This window comes from Homo sapiens, chromosome 2 (assembly GCF_000001405.40).
Source record: "Homo sapiens chromosome 2, GRCh38.p14 Primary Assembly".
In the NCBI taxonomy this organism is placed as follows: Eukaryota; Metazoa; Chordata; class Mammalia; order Primates; family Hominidae; genus Homo; species Homo sapiens.
In genome coordinates, this window is record NC_000002.12 from 172137166 (window position 1) to 172158913 (window position 21748).

Below are 21748 nucleotides of genomic sequence, written 5' to 3' on the forward strand. Positions count from 1 at the left end.
GCTCAGGGATGTAACATTAGCCTAACATCTAATGAAGGGTGGGAGGAGGGAGAAGAGAAGAAAAGATAACTATTTGGTACTGGGCTTAATACCTGGATGATGTAATAATATGTACAACAAACCCCATGACACAGTAGGAGTCCATGGTAACCCCACGAAAGGGAGTTAGGACTCTTTTTGATGAGTCAGAGAGAAAAAAGGGTTGAATATGCTTTGGCTGACCAGGACCAGGATGATGAGATGTAGACACACCTCCTCAAGGAGTTTTGCAAGACGTCCCACCCACATCAACAGGTAGCCTAAGAACAAGAAGCCTGACATTTTTTTTTTCTCCTAAGTTTGTTTTTGTTTTTTTGAGATGGAATCTCACTCCGTTGGCCAGGCTGGAGTGCAGTCGCACAATCTTGGCTCACTGCAACCTCCACATCCCGGGCTCAAGCAATTCTTCTGCCTCAGCCTTCTGAGTAGCTGGGATTACCGACATGGGCCACCACACTTGGCTAATTTTTGTATTTATAGAGATGGGGTTTCACCATGTTGGCTAGGCTAGTCTCGAACTCCTGGCTTCAAGTGATCCACCTGCCTTGGCCTCCCAACGCGCTGGGATTATAGGCATGAGTCACAGCTCCCGGCCTCTCCTAAGATCTTTATAACCTTCTAAACTCCATTCCCTAAGGCTGTGGTCAGCAAGCTATGGCCTGGGCACTAAGAATAATGTTTACATTTTCAAATGGTTGAAAAAAAAACCAAAAGAAGAATAATATTTTGTGACACATAAAAATTATATAAAAATAAAACTTCAGTGTCTATTAGTAAAGTTTTATTGGAACACAGACACATTCATCCATTTATGCAGCATCTGCTTTTGGGCTGCCATGGCAGAGTTGAGTAGTATGGCTTGCTAATATATATTATCTGGCCCTTTACAGAACAAGTTTGCAAACCCCAGCCCTAATGCAAACTTATAATTTGCATTTTATGGGTGCTCTTTTAAGGGCTATCTACAGCCAACAAATACAGGCACACCTTGTTTTATTGTGCTTCACTTTATTGTGCTTTGCAAATATTGTGGTTTTTAGAAATTGAAGATTTGTGGCAACCTGGCATCAAGCAAGTCTGTTGGTACCATTTCTCCAACAGCACGTGCTCACTTCATGTCTTCGTGTCACATTTTGATAATTCTTATAACATTCCAAACTTTTTCATTATTATTGTGTCTGTTATGATGATCTATTATCAATGATCTTTGATGTGACTATTGTAATTGGTTGGGGCACCAAGAACCATGCCCATATAAACATTGAACTTAATTGGTAAATGTGTGTATTCAGACTGCTCCACTGACCATTCCCCATCACTATTCCTCTCCTCAGGCCTGTATTCCCTGAAACACAAGAATATTAAAATTAGGTCAATTCTATGATTAACAATTCAAAAAATAACAGATGCTGACAAGATCGCGGAGAAATGGGAACACTTATACACATTGGTGGGAGTGTAAATCGGTTCAACCATTGTGGAAAGCAGTATGGTGATTCCTCAAAGAGCTAAAAGCAGAACTACCATTCGACCCAGCAATGTCATTATTAGGTATATACCCAGGAGAATATAAATCATTCTACCATAAAGACACATGCACATGAATGCTCACTGCAGCACTATTCACAATAGCAAAGACATGGAGTCAACCTAAATGCCCATCAATGGTAGACTAAAGAAAATGTGGTACACATATACCATGAAATACTATGCAGCCATAAAAAATGAGATCATGTCCTTTGAAGGAACATGGATGGAGCTGGAGGCCATTATCCTTAGCAAACCAACTAAGGACAGAAAAGCAAATACTACATGTTCTCACCTATAAGTGGGAGCTAAAGGATAAGAATATATGAACACAAGAAAAGAAAAAAATAGACACTGGAGTCTACCTGATGGGGGAGGGTGGGAGGAGGGAGAAGAGAAGAGAACTCTTTGGTACTGGGCTTAATACCTGGATGATGTAATAATATGTACAACAAACCCCCACGACACATGTTTAACTGTGTAGCAAACCTTCACATGTACCCCCAAATCTAAAATGGAAGTTAAAAATGGAAGTTAAAAAAAGTTAGGCCAATTAATGCCCCTACAATGGCCTCTAAGTGTTCCAGTGAAGGAAGAGTCACATCTCTCATTTTACTTATTTGAGACAGAGTTTTGCTCCGTTGCCCAGGCTGGAGTGCAGTGGCATGATCACACCTCACTGCAGCCTCGACCTCCCTGGCTCAAACAATCCTCCTACCTCAGCCTTCCAAGTAGCTGGAACTACAGGCATGCACCACCATGCCTAGCTAATTAAAAAAATTTTTTTTTGTAGAGATGGGGTTTGGCCACGTTTCCCAGGCTGGTCTGGAACTCCTGGGCTCAAGTGATTCTCCTACTTCAGTGTCCCAAAGTGTTGGGATTACCGCTATGAGCCACCACGCTTGATCATATCTCTCATCTTAAATCAAAAGCTAGAAATGTTTAAGCTTAGTGAGGAAAGCACGTTGAAAGTCAAGACAGGCTAAAAGCTAGGCCTCTTGCACAAAACTCTTAGCCAAGTTGTGAATGCAAAGGAAAAGTTCTTGAAGGAAATTAAACGTGCTACTCTAGTGAACACATTTCACTTTTTGTTGACATGGAGGAGGTTTGAATGATCTGGGTAGAAGATCAAACCAGCCACAACCTTCCCTTAAGCCAAAGCCTAATCCAGAGAGTTCAGACTCTGAACTCTCTTCAAGTCTATGAAGGCTGAGAGAGATGAGGAAGCTGCAGAAGAAATGTTGGAAGCCAGCAGAGGTTGGTTCATGAGCTTTAAGGAAAGAAGCTGTCTCCATAACATAAAAGTGCAAGGTGAAGTGGCAAGTGCTGATGTAGAAGCTACAGCAAGTTATTCAGAAGATCTAGCTAAGACCATCGATGAAGGTGACTGCATGAAACAAAAGCTTTTCCATGTAGATGAAACAGCCTTGGAAGAAGATGCCATCTAGGACTTTCACAGCTAAAGAAGAGAAGAGAATGCCTGGCTCCAAAGCTTCAAAGGACAGGCTCTCTTGTTAGGGGCTAATGCAGCTGGTGACTCTAAGTTGAAGCTAATGTTCATTGACCATTCTGAAAATCCTAGGGCCCTTAAGAATTATGGTAAATCTGCTCTACCCATGCTCTATAAATGGAACAACAAAGCCTGGATGACAGCACATCTGTCTAGAATATGGTTTACTGAATACTTTAAGCTCAATGTTGAGACCTACTGTTTAGAAAAAAAGATTCCTTTCAAAATACTATTGCTCATTGACAATGTACCTGGTCACCAAACAGCTCTCTGATGGAGAGGTACAAGGAAATTAATGTTTTCTTGCCTGCTAACACAACATCCATTCTGCAGCCCATGGATCAAGGAGTAATTTTGACTTTCAAGTCTTATTATCTATTTATTCATTTGTTTAGAGAGGTAGTCTCATTCTGTCACCCAGGCTGGAGTGCACTGGCAATCACAGCTTACTGCAGCCTTGAACTCTGGGATCCAGTGATCCTCCTGCTCCAGCCTCCCAAGTAGCTGAGACTATAGGCATATTCTACCACACCTAGCTAATTTTTTTTTTTTTTTTTTTTTTGAGTTGAGGTCTCTGCTGCCCAGGCTGGAGAGCAGTGGCACAATTATGGCTTACTATGGCCTCAAACTCTGGGCTCAAGTGATCCCCCTGCCTCAGCCTCCTGAGTAGCTGGGACTACAGGCATGTACCACCACTCTTGAGTAAGTTTTTCTATTTTTTGTAGAGACAAATTTCACTGTGTTGGCTGGTCTGGTCTAGAACTCCTGGCCTTAAACAATCTCCCTGCCTTAGCCTCCCGAAGTGCTGGGATTACAGGTATAAGGCACCACCCTTGGCAACCCTTATTTAAAAAATATATTTGCAGCCAGGCTTGGTGGCTTGTGCCTATAATCCCAGAGACTCAGGAGGCTGAAGTGGGAGGATTGCTTGAGGCCAGGAGTGTAAGACCAGCCTGGGTAACATAGCAAGACCCAGTCCCTAAAAACAAAAATTTACAACAAAAGAAATACCTATCATAAGACTATAGCTGCCATAGATAGTGATTCCTTTGATGTATCTGGGCAAAGTAAATTGAAAACTTTCTGGAAAGGATTTACCATTCTAGATGCCATTAAGAACATTTGTGATTCATAGGAGGAGGTCAAAACATCAACATTAACAGGGGTTTGGGAGAAGTTGATTCCAGTGCTTATTGATGACTTTTGAGACGTTCAAGGCTTCACTGCAGCTGTGGTGGAAATAGCAAGAGAACTAGAATTAGAAGTAGAGCCTGTAGATGTGACTCAATTCCTGCAATTTCATGATCAAACTTGACTGGATGAGGAGTTGCTCCTTTTTTTTTTTTTTTTTTGAGACGGAGTTTCATTCTTGTCGCCCAAGCTGGAGTACAGTGGCACAATCTTGGCTCACTGCAATCTCCTGGGTTCAAGCGATTCTCTTGCCTCAGCCTCCCGAGTAGCTGAGATTACATGTGCCCACCACCATGCCCCAGCCAACTTTTGTATTTTTAGTAGAGATAGGGTTTCACCATGTTGGCCAGCCTGGTCTTGAGCTCCTGACTTCAAGTGATCTGCCTGCCTCAGCCTCCTAAAGTGCTGGGATTACAGGCGTAAGCCACCGCGCCTGGCCCCTGACAACTTTAATTAGGCTTCTGGATCCCTGTTGTATAAAAGTGTGAAGGCTGTAGAGGTGCTCTTCTGTGACACACCCCTATCCTGGCTTCCCTTACAGAATTCCTCAAATTCAAAACCAGCTGCACTCTCTGCTTTCCATTTCCAAAGCCTTTCTACCTGCAGCAATTGTTGAGAGCAGAGGGAGGAGGATGGGCTGTGTGCCTGTTTTTTTTTGTTTTTTGTTTTTTTTTTTTAACTAGGGCAAAGTCTCTTACCTAAATCAGTAGAGCAGCTTCAAATGTGCAGTTTTGCACACCCCTCTGCATGATCCAGAACCCTCCCGGTGCGCTGCTGCCTCAGAACCTTTGCTTGCAGTATTGCCATGCTCTTCCTCCAGAGAGCGGCCTCCCCACTCCTTCACTTCTCAGTTCTTTACTCAAATATACCTCAGAGAGGTCTCCCAGACAGGATGTTGGCTATGTACCACACATTTCCTATCCCCTTCCCTGATTTATTTTCATTGTTAGCAGTTTGTACATAGTAAATATACCTTTTGCTTATTTCTCTTATTTATTTTCTGTCTTCCCAAACCAAATATAGGCAGAGATTTTTGTGCCAGTGTCTGATATACAAAAGATACTCTATAAATACATCTTGAATGAATGAATGAATAAATATCAAGCACATGTACAATTATATAGTACATATTTATTTGTATAATCTTTTTTCTTTTGGATACGTCGTCTCGCTCTGTCACCCAGGCTGGATTGCAATGGTGCGATCTCGGCTCACTGCAACCTCCACCTCCTGGGTTCAAGCAATTCCCCTGCCTCAGCCTCCTGAGTAGCTGGGATTACAGGCACATGCCACCATGCCTGGCTAATTTTTGTATTTTTAGTAGAGATGGGGTTTCACCATGTTGGCCAGGCTGGTCTTGAACTGACCTCAGGAGTTCACCCACCTCGGCCTCCCAAAGTACTGGGATTACAGGCGTGAGTCACTGCGCCCAGCCCAATCTTTTTTTTTTTTTTTTTTTTTTAAGTTGAGACAGGGTCCCACTGTCACTCAGGCTGGAATGCAGTAGTGTGATCTTGGCTCACTCCAGCCTCCATCTGCTGGGTTCCAGTGATTCTCCCGCCTTAGCCTCCCTAGTAGCTGGGATTACAGACATGCACCACCACACCTGGCTAATTTTTTGTATTTTTGGTGGAGATGGGGTTTTGCCATGTTGCCCAGGCCGGTAAGCTTTTTTTTTTTTTTTTTAACAAGTGGGATTATATTATACATAGAATCTCCAACTTGCTTTCCTTCACCTAGCAAGAAATCCTGGACATTTTCCCATGTGAGCACATATGGATGCCATTCATTCTTTTAAGTAGTTGCATAGTATTCCAGAATATAGCTAAACAAAACTCTTTGTGCGTGTGGTTTTTTTTTTGTTTTTTTTTGTTTTTTGAGACGAAGTCTCGCTCTGTTGCCCAGGCTGGAGTGCAGTGGCTTGAACTCAGCTTAATGCAAGCTCTGCCTCCTGGGTTCATGCCATTCTCCTGCCTCAGCCTCCCAAGTAGCTGGGATTACAGGCGCCTGCCACCACACCCGACTAATTTTTTTTTGTATTTTTAGTAGAGAAGGGGTTTCACGGTGTTAGCCAGGATGGTCTCAATCTCCTGATCTTGTGATCCACCTGCCTTGGCCTCCCAGAGTGCTGGGATTACAGACATGAGCCACTACACCCAGCCAACCAAACTCTTTTAAATCAGTCATTTACTGATGGTCATTAGGATGTTGAAAATTTTACAATTTCCTACAACAAATCAAGAAAAATAATGCAGTCCCAATTCAAGATACAAAACTTGTTCCAGAACTGACTGGAAGCTATTGGTCATTTTCTGACTTCCCTGTGCTGTAATTTATATATTTTTTCAGTTCTTGGCTACTCAGTTGAAAAAGGGCTGCTCAGATGAGGTATGGGCAGAGGTGGATGTTGGGATCATCACATGTACTTGTAATAATTCTACATTAATAATTACTAGAGTTGAGAGCAGACCTCTGCTCAGGCAGTATGTTGGCATGTGGTGGGGAGGATACCTCTGCTTCCTGTGACCCAGGTCACTTCATTTCTGCAAACCTGCATCTGGTCTTATATGCCTTTTGCTGACTGGTTCATTTATCTACTGTGTGCCTTCAGTATTAATACCTGACACTTCATATGCTAGCCAATTTCTCTTCTCAGTAATCACATCTTTCTTCCATTTTCTATTCATGTAAGCCCCACTTCTCAGTCTTCTCTTAAAGAGTCTAGTCATGTGGTCTCTTTCTCCACTGGCATCTGCCCAACCCTCTGGCATCTTCTATACAAATGCCAAAGCCTCATCTCTCAATGCTGGTCCATGATAGGGCTTTGTCTTGCCTTTCATTTCCTCCCTGGCTTTGGACCAGTCCCTCTGTTCCTTTCCAGCATCTCTGTAGCCTTAATCAGTTGCGCCTCTGATCTGTGCTTGTTACACCTGCAAGCCCAGTCCACGTAATATGCTCTTCCTCCCTAACCTTCAGAAACTCCATCTGCTTCCCTGAGCGATTCCAGCCTTCCCTGAGCAATTTCTCAGGCTACTTCAGCTGGGTTCTCTTGAGGATCAAAATGCTGAAATTTCATGTGCTATTCCTTTCATCTCTTTTGAATATTCCGTTTGGCTTAACTAGGGTGCTGCAGGATCCGACTTGGCCTTCATAACTTCAGAGAGGCCCAGCATCACCCGGTGGACACAGGTAGGGTAGGAACTTCCAGGTGATCTGCCAAGCCTGGTATTGCTCACTCCCTCAGCTCCTCCATGAGCCAGTGGGGGACAGGCCACTATTTTCAGGAAGGAGGAGCAGCTGGGTTTAAGAAAATCCTGTGGATTTAGGAGATATTTATTTCTCCTAATAATATTTGTTAGGAGATATTTATTTATTTATTTATTTAGTGGTTTTAGTGTTTTATTTTTTCTTTTCTCAGGTGGTGGGCCTTTTGATGACAGCTATGGAAAAGTCTTTCCAGAAAAATGCACGTGCACATAAAATTAGAATGTTTCCAAGATACGCATGGACCCTGTGAAACCCACTGAAGATTCCATGGCCCCAGGTTAGAACTCATTTCCCTAGAGCATATTTCATGTTTGTTCTTGGTATTTTTTCTTCTACCTACTTGTCCACTGACTGGTTGGAAAGCATTGTCTTAATGAGATAATCAAATAGACATGAATGATTCTGATGGCCTCCTTGGCTTTTTTTTTTTTTTTTTTTTTAATTTTTAAAGCAAGCTTTGCTTCTCCTTGGGATTTAAAGAATTAGGTAGTGTTCTTTCCCCTACCTCCCAGCCCCCCATCCTCCACCAACCCTATAACTTTAAAATTACAAGGTTCTGTCTTCTGAGTTATTTGGTGGGAATTCTCCTTTGAGTTATACTGAGAGTTCTTCAGTATTGGCTCTTTACTTCTTTCCCACACAACTCAATTTACATCTGGTGGGCTGACTAGGAACAAAGGGACTGATAGTGAAGTGGGATAGCCTAGGAGTTAAGAGAATGGACCCCATAGCCAGGCTGAGGGGAGTTTCTAAATTTAGTGATCTTAAATTGGTGGCTCAAAGGCTGGAGAAGCCAGAGGGTAAGTTTTTTTTGCCTGCCCAGCCTTTCCAAAAGTTAAGTTACCTTGATCTCAATAAAAGAGGTCAACTATTGTCTTATGCTGATCCTCTGAAAACATTTATGCCAATCACCTGCCCAAGGCAATTGAGTTTAGAATTTCACTTGCTCATCTATAAAGGGGGCACACTACCTACCTCAAATAACTCAATGAATTTATGAATGTAAGAACAAAATGAGTTAGCTTGGTTCCTGTAAGTTCTTAACAAATTGTACATTTGATTACTGATAATAATTTTCATTGATGAATGCCTTTGGAAGTGCTTCGAGGGGGATCTGCAAGCATGGGGGTGGAGGCTGGGAGGGAGACAGGATAGACTTGAGGGATATTGAGTCCATTTGAAAATAAAATTAGGCCTGTTTCCTGGGAAAGCCACATGAAGTGGGAGAGATAATTTGGCCCAGAAAACTGAGAAACAGTAGCCTGAAATTGCTGGCACAGAGCTCACAGAAGTCAATGTCAGGAGTTCCGCCAGAAGGAGAATGAATGGTATAGTGCTGCTTCCTGCAGAGGGAGGGAAAGCCTCTGCCAGGCCTCTTTCCCATGGAGTCTCACCTTCAGGTCTTCTGTGCCTGCTGCTCACAGCTGCCCTCTTCCACTGCCCACGCCTTAGATTTCACAGGTGTTTCCAGACATGGAAATGCTTTTGATGGGGCAGCCTCCTCCATAGCCCTGGAAGGTGCGCCTGGGTGCCATGGCCCAGGCCTGGGTGTCTGGAGCTCATTTTTGTCCGTGGCTGGGATGCTTTCTGCCTGGGCTCCCTCGGGCTTCCATGAGCTGACCACCTCATCCTGCATAGTGTTGACCTCTCGTCGACTCAGGTTCTGTTGTTGGTGGAGGGTAAAAAGTATGTTGGGAGAGCCCTGATGGGGCAAGGTGGGCAGATGCTACCTTCTGACTTTGGGTGGCAGAGTGGTGGGGCTCAGCTGGATTTAAGGAGCTCAGGCTCCCATCAGAGCTGCAGGGTCTGGGGGTTGGATTGACACTGGCTTGAGGGCAGGGACTAAAACTTTTAGTGTTGGTACAGGCTAGAGGTTAGGAGTGCAGACCCTGGGCTCAAATCTATTCTGTTGTTTGCAAGCTATGTGACCTTGGGCAAGTCACTTAATCTCCTGGAGACTCAGTTTTCTCATCTGTAAAATGGGAATAATAATAGTATCTACCTCAGAGGATTGCTGTAAAGATTAAATAAATAAGTGAATAAGGACATTTATAAGTGTTAGCTGCAATTAGTAATGATTAGCATAAGGCCAGGGCATGCATTGCTGAGCTGGGCATTAGGGGCAGGCACTGTTCAGGCAGGGCTGGGGGCCAGAATGAAGTTAACCAGGGAATTAAACAGATTTGGGAAAAAGTATTAGGATGGATGAGGTTGGGGTTGGTGCTGGAGTACAGCTTGGCCCAGATTTTCATTGAGGGGTTAGAAGAGCAGGGAGGGAACCTGGTGGAAGCAAAGGCAGCTTCTGTTTTGCCCCCAAACCTTGAACACCAATATGGACACATGTGCAGACTCCTGTCCTTCCCCTCCACTCCCCGCTCTTGCCAGCCAGACCAGGGTCTCTGTAGTCATGGAGAGGGCTAAGAAGCGGGAGGGAGGGCTCTGAGCTATTCCATCATGGGTTGGGATTGGTGGTGGCTGTAGAGCCAGTGCCAGAGGCTGGCTGACAGGTAAGAATCACTGCTGTTGTCATCTGCCTCCCAGGTCTCCTATCCCTAAAGGCTCTCTTATCCCCATAGTTGGGAAAACCCAAGAAAAATCTTGAGAGTAGTCTTAGATCCCCAGGACAGTGAAGATGATGCTGTAGAGGCCAAGGGAAAACTTCCCCTTTACCCTCTGAAGTTTTGCTGAAAAATCGACTCACAGAAGGAGATTAATAAGAGAAATGACATACAAATTTATTAACATGCACATGGGGAAGAACCACAGAGTGATTACCCCAAATCCCAATGGGGTTCAGAAGTTTATATACCCTCTTGAAGGTATAGAAAGAATGGGGGCTTGTATCCTGGCAAAACAGGTTATGGGAGGGGGAGAAGAGAAGCCCTGGCTAGCAAAGATGGTTGTGTTATGCAGGTGAAACCTCACAGGTAGCAGCCCTCAGAGTGGAGAGATGGGTGAATGTTCTTTCAGATCTTTAAATGTGTCAGACTCTCAGTTAATCTCTCCTAGATCTGGACAAAGGAAGGCCTTAGGAGAAAGCCTGGCTGCATCAATGCAGATTCTCTGCAGATGCAAATCTCCCCCCACCTGCAAAAGACAGCTTTGCAGGGCTACTTATGTTTGCAGGCCCTCTGAACAGCCATCTCAAAGTATGCCAAAGAAGTCTGTTTTGGGGTCCAATATTTTTATTTCCTTCAATACCAATCTTCCTCCAGGCAGCTCTGACAGCTCCGACAGCTCCAAAGCTTGGACAGTGGGCTGGGGAGGACATGGCTGTCTAGGGAGGGCCTCTGCCCAGGTGGTGCATCAGGTTCACACACTCAGGTCCTGGTACCATTGTGCCTGGTGAGTGGTTCCCAGTGTTTGTGATCATGGTTTGCATAACCTGCAGGCAGCTAGTGGAGAGCTTGGCTCTGTAAAGAAGGAGAAGTGTGTAGCAGGCGGAGGTCTGAGACTCTAGAAAGGCAGTCTCAGCCTGCTTTGAATCAAATAGCGGGAACAGACAAATTAATTTCCTCTAGCATGGATGGGTGGGTGGACAAAACGAAAGAGCCAGAATTCAGCAGACCTGGTCTCAGGGGCAGGAGAAGAAGTAATTATTTTCATTTCATTTCAATATCCTGTTCACTTCTTATGCTGATTAGGACAAGCCCACAGTTGCTGTCTATTTATTCGTGTAGTACTGCCAGGACTGCCAGCGCTGCCATGGGAATGCACATGTTTATGCCCGGGTGCTCTTGATGTTCTCAGAGCTGCGGGCACTGCCCTAGCCAGAGGACTGCGGATGTGCCGGGGCCCTTGAGGCATCAGCATTGCTTCATGCCCCCCAGAGCCCATGAATCAGAAGAAAGCAGGGGTTGGACAGGCTGCATCGGCTGTGTGTGTGTGTGTTTGTGTGCATTTAATAGAGGCAAAGGAATGCTCTTGCATTGTGGTTTAGGGACGAAAAGGAAACTTCTTTGAGGACTAACCATCTTGGTGTTGTTAAAACTTACATTATTACATTAGGATTATTTTAAGTGGTCTGTAATAAGGTAAAGTGAAAGGAAATGAGCAGATGAGAATCTTTCTGGGCTCTAGTTGTGAAAATCAGAATGAGAAACACCAGAGGTCTGTTTCTTAGAATCATGAATAGATTATGGAACACCCACCATCACCATTATCGTTTGATGTTTTTCCCAGTTTGCAGCTAGTGACAGCAATTAAAGATGAAACAGAAATGAGATTTAGAACTTTGGAAAGGAAAAGACAAAATTTTATTTTTGCAGATGATACGATTTTATATCTAGCCTACTAAAAGAAATTCAAGGCTGGGCGCAGTGGCTCACGCCGGTAATCCCAGCACTTTGGGAAGCCGAGGCGGGCAGATCACAAGATCAGGAGTTCGAGACCAGCCTGGCCAATATGGTGAAACCCCGTCTCTACTAAAAACACAAAAAATTAGCTGGGCGTGGTAGCGGAAGCCTGTAGTCCCAGCTACTCAGGAGGCTGAGGCAGGAGAATCGCTTGAACCCAAGAAGCGGAGGTTGCAGTGAGCCGAGATCGCACCTCTGCACTCCAGCCTGGGCGACAGAGCAAGACTCCCTCTCAAAAAAAAAAAAAAAAAAAAAAAAATCAAGCAAAATGAAACTCCAACTATTGGATTTTTTTTTTTTTAAGGGGGAGTCTCACTCTGTCGCCCAGGCTGGAGTGCAGTGGCGCGATCTCGGCTCACTGCAAGCTCCGCCTCCCAGTTTCACGCCATTTTCCTGCCTCAGCCTCCCGAGTAGCTGGGACTACAGGCTCCCGCCACCATGCTCGGCTAATTTTTTTTTTTTTTTGTATTTTTGGTAGAGACGGGGTTTCACCGTGTTAGCCAGGATAGTCTTGATCTCCTGACCTCGTGATCCACCCGCCTTGGCCTCCCAAAGTGCTGGGATTACAGGCATGAGCCACCGTACCCGGCCCAACTATTGGATTTTTTAAAAAGAAACAGGATCCTACTCTGTTGCCCAGGCTGGAGTGCAGTGGCATGACCATAGCTTACTTCAGCCTCCCAGGCTCAAGCGATCCTTCCTCCTCTGCCTCTCAAATTTCTGGGATTACAGGTGTGAGCCACAGTGCCTGGCCCCAACTATTGCATTTAATGAGAGTTGAGTGTGTTGGCTGCAAGCAGGATATATTCAAATAAAAATATTTTCCATATGCCAGCATTGATAAACTTTAAAATATAATGAGAAAGAGAGAGGAGAAAGAGAGGGATGGAGAGATTACATTCTTTAAACTGATAAAATAGGAATAATTTTAATAAGAAATGTGCTGTAGGCTCTATGTAAAGAAAACTAAAAAAAGTTGCTCAGCATTATAAAGAAAGATGTGAATAAAAACATAAGAATGAAGAACCATACCATACTTTTATTTTTTCTGATTGTGTATGTCTAAAAATTTCATGTCCTCCTTCATTAACTACTTATTCCATTTGTGCTATGTGCTAGGGGGTGGGGATTCAATGGTGAAAAACACAGATACTGTTCCCATCTTTATGGAATTTACATTTTAATGGAAGAGGTGGGCAATCAAAGCATAAACAAGTTATTTAAATAAATACAGCTAACAGTAAGTATCCAAGGGAAATAGCCTTTCCCTTTGACTTCTCCTGTGATAGATCTCTCTGATCGCCCCCTATTATTTAGCTATCTAAAGTGCCCAAAGTTTTTTTTTTAAACCACAAATACACTGCCAATAGTAAATTTGCAGGGTGAGTTGTGCATGATCAATCTAATTTAACTGGTAAGAAAATATCCTAACAGGGGCACTGTAAATCACCTCAGCTCTCACTTACGAAGGTCAGAACTCCCTGAGTACTGGGTTCTTTTCTTTATTATTCATGTATTTATTTTTCTTTCAGCAGGTTTTCAAGGAACAGGTAGTATCTGGTTCCATGAGTAAGTTATTTAGTGGTGATTTCTGAGATTTTGGTGCACCTGTCACCTGAGCAGTGTAGTGTATACTGTATCCAGCATGTAGTCTTGTATCCCTCACCCCCACACCCTTTCCCTTGAGTCCCCAAAGTCCATTGTATCATTCTTATGCCTTTGTGTCCTCGTTGCTTAGCTCCCACTTATAAGTGAGAACACACAATGTTTGGTTTTCCATTCCTGAGTTACTTCACTTAGAATAATGCTCTCCAATTCCATCCAGGTTTCTGCGAATGCCATTATTTTGTTCCTTTTTATGGCTGAGTAGTATTCCATGGTATATATATATACACACCACAATTTCTTTATCCATTTGTTGTGATGGGCATTTGGGCTGGTTCCGTATTTTTGCAATTGCGAATTGTGTTGCTATAAACATGCATGTGCAAGTGTCTTTTTTGTAATAATGACTTTTTTTCCTCTGGGTAGATACCCAGTAGTGGGGTTGCTGGATCAAATGGTAGTTCTACTTTTAGTTCTTTAAGGAATCTCCACACTGTTTTCCATAGTGGTTGTACTAGTTTACATTCCTACCAGCAGTGTGGAAGTGTTCTCTTTTCATCACATCCACGCCAAAGTCTATTATTTTTTGATTTTTTTATTATGACTGTTCTTGTGGGAGTAACATGGTATCGCATTGTGGTTTTGATTTGCATTTCCCTGATCATTAGTGATGTTGAACATTTTTTCATATGCTTGTTGGCCATTTCTATATCTTCTTTTGAGAATTGTCTATTCATGTCCTTAGCCCACTTTTTGACGGGATTGTTTTTCTCTGGCTGGTTTGTTTGAGTTCCTTGTAGATTCTGGATATTAGTCCTTTGTCAGATGTTTAGATTGCAAAGGTTTTCTCCCACTCTGTGGGTTGTCTGTTTACTCTGATGATTGTTTCTTTTGCTGTGCAGAAGCTTTTTAGTTTAATTAAGTCCTATCTATTTATCTTTGTTTTTGTTGCATTTGCTTTTGGGTTCTTGGTCATGAAGTCTTTCCCTAAGCCAATGTCTAGAAGGGGTTTTCCAATGTAATCTTCTAGAGTTTTTATGGTTTCAGGTCTTAGATTTAAGTCCTTGATCCATCTTGAGTTGGTTTTTGTATAAGGTGAGAGATGAGGATCCAGTTTCATTTTTCTACATGTGGCTAGCCAATTATCCCAGCATCATTTGTTGAATAGGGTTTCCTTTCCCCACTTTGTGTTTTTGTTTGCTTTGTCAAAGATCAGTTGGCTGTAAGTATTTGGCTTTATTTCTGGGTTCTCTATTCTGTTTCATTGGTCTGTGTGCCTATTTTTATGCTAGTACCATGCTGTTTTGGTGACTATGGCCTTATAATATAGTTTGAAGTCAGGTAATGTGATGCCTACAGATTTGTTCTTTTTGCTTAGTCTTGCTTTGGCTAAGTGAGCTCTTTTTTGGTTCCATATGAATTTTAGGATTGTTTTTTCTAGTTCTGTGAAGAATGATGGTGATATTTTGATGGGAATTGCATTGAGTTTATAGATTGCTTTTGGCAGTATGGTCATTTTCACAATATTGATTCTAATGGGTTCTTTAAGTGGAAATGTTTCTTCTTTTTCCTTTGTTTAAATGTGTTCTTGTGTAAGTCATGGGAAAGACAGGAGGGCTTGATTTGGCCTGTGTCCTCAGAAGTAGACCAGGCCTACCTCTGGATGTCATCATGCTGGCCAAATCTGAACTTGACTAGCAAATCATGAGAATGCAGTTAGTTCGGCCGGGCACGGTGGTTCACGCCTGTAATCCCAGCACTTTGGGAGGCCAAGGCGGGCGGATCATGAGGTCAGGAGATTGAGACCATCCTGACTAACAGGGTGAAACCCTGTCTCTACTAAAAATGCAAAAAATTAGCTGGGCGTGGTGGCGCACGCCTGTAGTCGAGCTACTCAGGAGGCTGAGGTAGGAGAATCACCTGAACCTGGGAGGTGGAGGTTGCAGTGAGCCGAGATCGCACCACTGCACTCCAGCCTGGGTGACAAAGTGAGACTCCGTCACACACACACACATACACAAAGAATGCAGTTAGTTCTTCAATGAGAACACATGGGCACAGGGAGGGGAACATCACACACTAGGGCCTGTACGGGGGTGGGGGGCAAGGGGAGGGAGAGCATTAGGACAAATACCTAATGCATGTAGGGCTTAAAACCTAGATGATGGGTTGATGGGTACAGCAAACCACCATGGCACATCTATACCTATGTAACAAATCTGTATGTTCTGCACATGTATCCCAGAACTTAAAGTAAAATAAATAAAAAAAGAATGCAGTTAGTTCTTCTTGATGCTGGAGACTATCACAATTTGTGGACCTCTGCTTGGCTTGAATGGTTAGCCAGGGAAGAATGTAGTTTAAATATTTTTGCATCATTATTTGTTATAAAAGTCATAGAAATGACTTTTCTAGAGATAGAAAAATACCATTATAGCGTAAGGGTGTTGAACTTAATGTGGAAACAAATCTACCTCCAGAATGTTATTTTCTAGCCTGTTTTTTCTTCTCCATTTTTTACCAGCATCTTAAACTTTTCATCTTTTTCCATTCTGGCCACACCCTGAATGAAAGTTTGCCCATTTCCTCTGCAATGTCTGCCCAAATCTTCCATCAACTCCTTTCCTTTTGCCCTATCAGAGTTTTCCAAGGGGTCCTGCAGCCAACAGACAATGCTCAGCTGGAGAGAATACAGGAAGCAGCTAACCACATTCTGCACCGACTGTCGTCCTTTGATCCTCTCTTTATATAGTGTGCTAAGGACATGTGGAATTAATTTTGCTTCTGAGGCTTCACTAATTGCCAACTGACACATTTGTTTCTAGAAAAAAGGTAAGTGTAGGCCAGGTGCAGTGGTGGATTAGGCTTAAAAATGTTTTTATTTTGCCACAAGAGGAAGCGCTGAGGGTGCTGCTTCCCCGCTGGAGCATCCAGGAATTTGAAGACTGTGCTCAAGGAGAAGAACTGACCCTTTGCTTTCTCTTTTGGGCCATGATGCTATGTCTGGGAAAGCAGAAACTCCAGTGATAAACTATTAGTGCTTGAAGGGAACTTTAAAAGCATTCATTGCAATCATTCTCTTTCACAGATGAAGTAAATGAAGCCTTGAAAGGTGAAATAACTTTCCCCAGGAGATTCCCAATTTTTAGCCCAGTGGTATTCCCAACACACTTTGGCATCTGTTGTAAACTTCAGAGGCCATTACTGGAATCTGCTGGGCATGGCCCCTTCTTATACAGCAATGAGGGAATCCATGGCATTATCTTTTCCCCTAGAGATTGAGAGAATGATTCATCTTTAAGTTTCAAAGAGACAGTGACATATTCCTAAAGCTTCATATATCCATGAGATAATGTCAAACATGTGAGTTGCTGAAACAGAAAATGCTCCCAGTGAGACAGCTGCTACAAGGAAAACCCTGCATACTTGCAGGCAGTGGAAACAATACTTTGGCTTAGACCAGGTGTGTGGGTTTTTTTTATTTGAAAGAAAAGAGAGTCTAAGAAGACAAGGATAATGCTTTAACACCCAGCATCATGAAGGAAAAAAAAAAAGCAACGTTGAGGCCACATTCAAGTCTCCACTCTCTGTTTTACCTGAAAAATTTCAAACCTGCAGGGAAATTGAAAGGATAATACAATTAGCACCTGTACATCCTTCATCTAGATTTACCAATTGTTGACATTTGAAAATTGCAAACATTGTGACGTTTCAATTTAGCGTGCATCTCTTGAGAGTAATGTCGTTCCCCTAACCACGACAGCATGATCACACCTAAGAAAATTAGCAATGATTCTGATGTATAATGTGTATTAAATTTCCTTTCAAATGCCTTTTTTATAACTTTTTTTCCCTCAATCTGAGATCCGATCAAATTCATGCATTATATTTGGTTGTTATGTCTTTGGTCTCATTTAATATAGAATAGTTGTCCTACCTTTTTTTTTCTTTTATGACATTGACTTGTTTGAAGAGATCAAGCTAGTTGTCTTGTGGAATGTACCATATTCTGTATTTGTCTGATTGGTTTCTCATGATTACCTTTGGGGAAACTTTTTTGGCGCAAACAGTACTTATGAAATTGTGTCTCTTTTTCTGTTACACCAGAAGGCACGTAGCATGTTACTGAGTGTGATCACTCAGTTGAGGTGTTTGCCATATCTCGCCACTCCTCCCTTTACAATTATCAAGTCCTTTGTGCAGTGATACTTTGAGTCCATGTGAATATATGGGTCCTCTACAGTTTTAGCATCCACTGCCTGAATTGATAATATCATAGGTTCCAAAATGGTCATTAAAAAAAGTTTATAATGCATATTTTTGAATCCACAGTCAGGAGTTATCTTTGAGTGACTATGGACACAGACTACCCCATATTATACACTCCATCTGTCCAGGACTAAGCTGAGAAGCAGGATGAGCAATCAGGAGACTGAGCAGTGGGCATGAAATCACAGCCCAGTGTGTGAATCGCTTCTTACTATAAGACTAAAATTTGAGGGCAGAACCTCCTTCAGTTTATTTATTCTGTATATCACCCCAACACCTCGTTACCACCCCCAACACCGTGTTACCCTCCATCCCTGTAACACCAAGCACAGTGTTTCACACAAAAGCCCAGAGGATGTTGTGAAATGAATGGAATTAGAGGAAAGAGAAGGTAGTGGTTTCACAAGTTTCCTGGAGGTCAAGGCAAAATCTGGTATTTGGCTCCGTCACGGGATCAACTTGTTTGTGCCTCTTTTTTTTGTGCTCTCTCCCTTTTGGAAACTCACTGTCCAGTCCTCATGCTGCATTCAACTCCATCTAAGCTTAGAGGGACTATGTTTCCAAACTCCAAATCAGGAAACAAAGCTTGATGGAATACTTGCAACCAGGAACCTACATTCCAGAATGATCTGTGCCCTTCTGTTTGCACTTGGATTTATACTATCCTCTTTCTGCATTTTGGCAGATTTTTCTCAGTCCAATTTGCCAGTTTACAGCTTTCCTTATAATGATTCGGTTACTCTTAAATACATCTAGGGAGATCCCTTAGACTCACCAGTAGACTTTCACATTATCTAACTGCATGGCTTGTTGATACTATTCTGAAGTCTGCTCATTTCTCCATTTCCTTCTTCCAATGTCTTTCTTGGAGTCCACTAGACCTGGGGTCCCCACGGTACTGGTCTGTGGCCTGTTAGGAACCGGGCTGCACAGCAGGAGTTGAGTGGCGGGCAAGCAAGCATTACCGCCTGAGCTCCGCCTCCTGTTAGATCAGCAGTGGCATTAGATTCTCATACAGCGCAAACCTTATTGTGAACTGCGCATGCGAGGGATCTAGGTTGCGCACTCCTCTTTTTTTTTCTTTCTTCTTCTTTTTTTCGTGTCAGATGGGTAATGTGCTAACGTCATAACAAGGTTCAAGGGTGGCAGATCTCACACATGCACGTGAATACCCAATCATCATGCTCAGGTTGCACAGTCCTTAGGAGAATCTAATGATAAATGTAGTGTGCTGAAATCATCCTGAAACCATCCCCGCCCCTCTCTGTTCTCCCTTGATCCGTGAAAAAATAGTCTTCCATGAAACTGGTCCCTGGTGCCAAAAAAGTTAGGGACCACTGCGATTCATCTATTACCCACAGCACAGGGCAGGTAAGTAGGAGGTAGGGAGGATTATGCCCATGGAGAGAGCCCTCATGTGCTGGGTGGTGCAAGAGAGGTCTCGGATTCTGATTCCAGTTCTGCCTCTACTCATTGGTGTGCGCTTTGACAAGTCAGTTCCCTTGTTCATCTTCATAGGAAACTCGGTAAAATAATTGTTTATACAGTCGGCCCTCCATCTCTGTGGGTTCCACATCCATGGCTTCCACCAGCTTAAACCAAATTTATCTTCACAAGGCTCCCCCTAGAAGAGAGGAAATTCCACAGCTTTGATGTGATGTGAAATGTGATCTCAAAATGATCATTTTCTAATATTATCATTCCTTTCACATTTATTAGTTGACATTTCTATCAGATCTCTCTTTTTCCCTCTTTCTTTTGAGTATCACCATGGACTGTGGATTTTTTTAGGCAATTCATTGTGTTATCATCCATTACTATCATTGTTCTTTTATTCTATTTGCTGCTCCAGTTCTTCCAAGTTAGGGTAGCAGGAGCTCTTTCAAGCTGGTTCCTGTAATTTTTTGACATGTCTTGGTTGGTCTTTGAGCACTTCATTGCTTTCTGGTCCAACAAAATGTCCCAGGCTCACTTTTTCTCCATTCCAGACCTGGAATGAGGATTTCATCAAAGGATTCTTAGGGGGACTGACATTTATAAACCATGGCTCAGGTGCTAGTGCATTGCTACTGGGGGACATTCACGTTAAAATAAAATCAACTTAACGATAAATTGTAGTTACATGTTTTTTCTGAGATATATAAATAATCAACTTCTCTGATCTCAGAATTAGATAAATCAGGAATGAATAACCAAGGTCAATAATAAGAATTCTCAAAGAAGCCCCAAGAATTTTTTTTTTAAAGAAGTGTCTGAGGGGCCGGGCATGGTGGCTTACACCTGTAATCCTAGCACTCTGGGGGGCTGAGGTGGGCAGATCACAAAATCAGGAGCTGGAGACCAGCCCGGCCAACATGGCGGAACCCCATTTCTACTAAAAATACAAAACCCCATTTCTACTAAAAATACAAAAATTAGCCGGGCATGGTGGCAGATGCCTGTAATCCCAGCTACTCAGGAGGCTGAGGCAGGAGAATTGCTTGAACCTGGGAGGCGGAGGTTGCAGTGAGCCGAGATTGTGCCATTGCCCTCCAGCCTGGGTGGCAAGAGCAAGACTTCATCTCAAAAAAAATAAAAAATAAAAAATAAAAGAAGTGTCTGAGGGACACTTTCTTAGGGCTGCTGTAACAAAAAGCCACAAATTGGGTGGCTTAAAATAACAGAATTTTATTATCTCACAGTTCTGGAGGCTAGAGTCCAAAATCAAGGTGTTAGCACCCTCTAAAACCTGCAGTGGAGAATCCTTCCTAGCCCCTTCTAGTTTCTGGTGTTTGCTGGCAATGCTTGGCATTCTCTGACTTGGAAATGCATCACTCTAATCTCTGCTGCCATTGTCACATGGCTGTCTTCTTCCTGTGTGTCTGTGTCCCTGTGCTTCTCCTCTCTTATGAGGATACCAGTCATATTATATTAAGGACTCAGCCTATTCCATTATGAACTCATTGTAAAGCATGATTACACCTGCACAGACCGTATTTCCAATAATGTCACTTTCACAGGTACTGGGGTCAGGATTTCAACATATTTCTTTAGGGGATAAAATCCAACCCATAATAGACACCATAATTCAGGAGTTAGACATTCGAGAAGAGTTTAACTGGAGTATGGAAACATGAATTTTGTAGAAAGTCTGTCCTTTAAATCCTGACAAATGCTCTCCTTATAATTCCAAATTGGATGAAAAAAAGTGTCATACATAAGAAATATTTACACTACTTATTGTAATCAGTTTTCTATACTGGTTAGATAAGGATAAAAGAGAAATAGAAGAGGTATGGAAGACACTGGGAGACATATTGAAAGGACAGCAGGAGATAAGAGATTTAGGGATGACTGAGAGAGGGAATAGAGGGGAATTTAGAAGAAGAAAACGGGGAGCAGGATGCCTGTCTGAAGAACAGAAAGATCATTATCTGTCACCCATTCAGCTAGATTCAAACTGTATGACCTCACGCTCCATTCTGGCTCTTTACCTAATACTACATTTTTGACTTGTACCTCTTTGATAATAAGGCTGAATATTATTTTGTTTTGCTCTGTGGCACAAATGGATGGGGACTGAGTGATGTGCATACCTTTTGGTGTGATTACTCCAGGCGAGGGGTATCTGAGGGCTGAGGGTCTGTGAGTAAGACAGGAATGGAGTAATGGGGACAGATTTGAGCTGGGTGAGGCCACTGTCTAGGTCATTAAGTCAAAGGGGTTCTCCTGAAACCGGAGGTGGGAGTGGCTTGAGGCACCAGTCCAAAGGCCAGTTGCCAAATTTGGTGATTATGGGGGAAGCAGAGCTTGTAGCCAGAGATGGATAAATAGCCCATAAATAACAGTATGGCAAGAGGATGGGCAGGTGTGTAGCTCCCTGTGGTCAGGAAAGGGGTATGCCCAGGACAGACAGACATGGGGAAGGCTCAACTGTGTGTCTTCCTTTGGGACCTCTCATCTGCCAAGCCCTGAAGCTGATGGAGTGGTGCCTCTTGGATGTGCT

The 21748-nt window shown here is 43.0% G+C and overlaps 1 long non-coding RNA gene and 1 pseudogene across 1 annotated transcript; one reads left to right on the forward strand and one right to left on the reverse strand.

Annotated features, from left to right (window-relative positions):
* The first annotated feature begins 207 nt into the window (after positions 1 to 207).
* On the forward strand, positions 208 to 16326 carry LOC105373741 (uncharacterized). Its single transcript, XR_923580.2, has 3 exons — positions 208 to 294; positions 7686 to 7811; positions 16135 to 16326. It is a non-coding gene; the product is annotated as an uncharacterized LOC105373741 (long non-coding RNA).
* Positions 16327 to 18863: 2537 nt separating this feature from the next.
* Positions 18864 to 18974, reverse strand: LOC124906157 (uncharacterized; annotated as a pseudogene).
* Positions 18975 to 21748: the final 2774 nt, after the last annotated feature.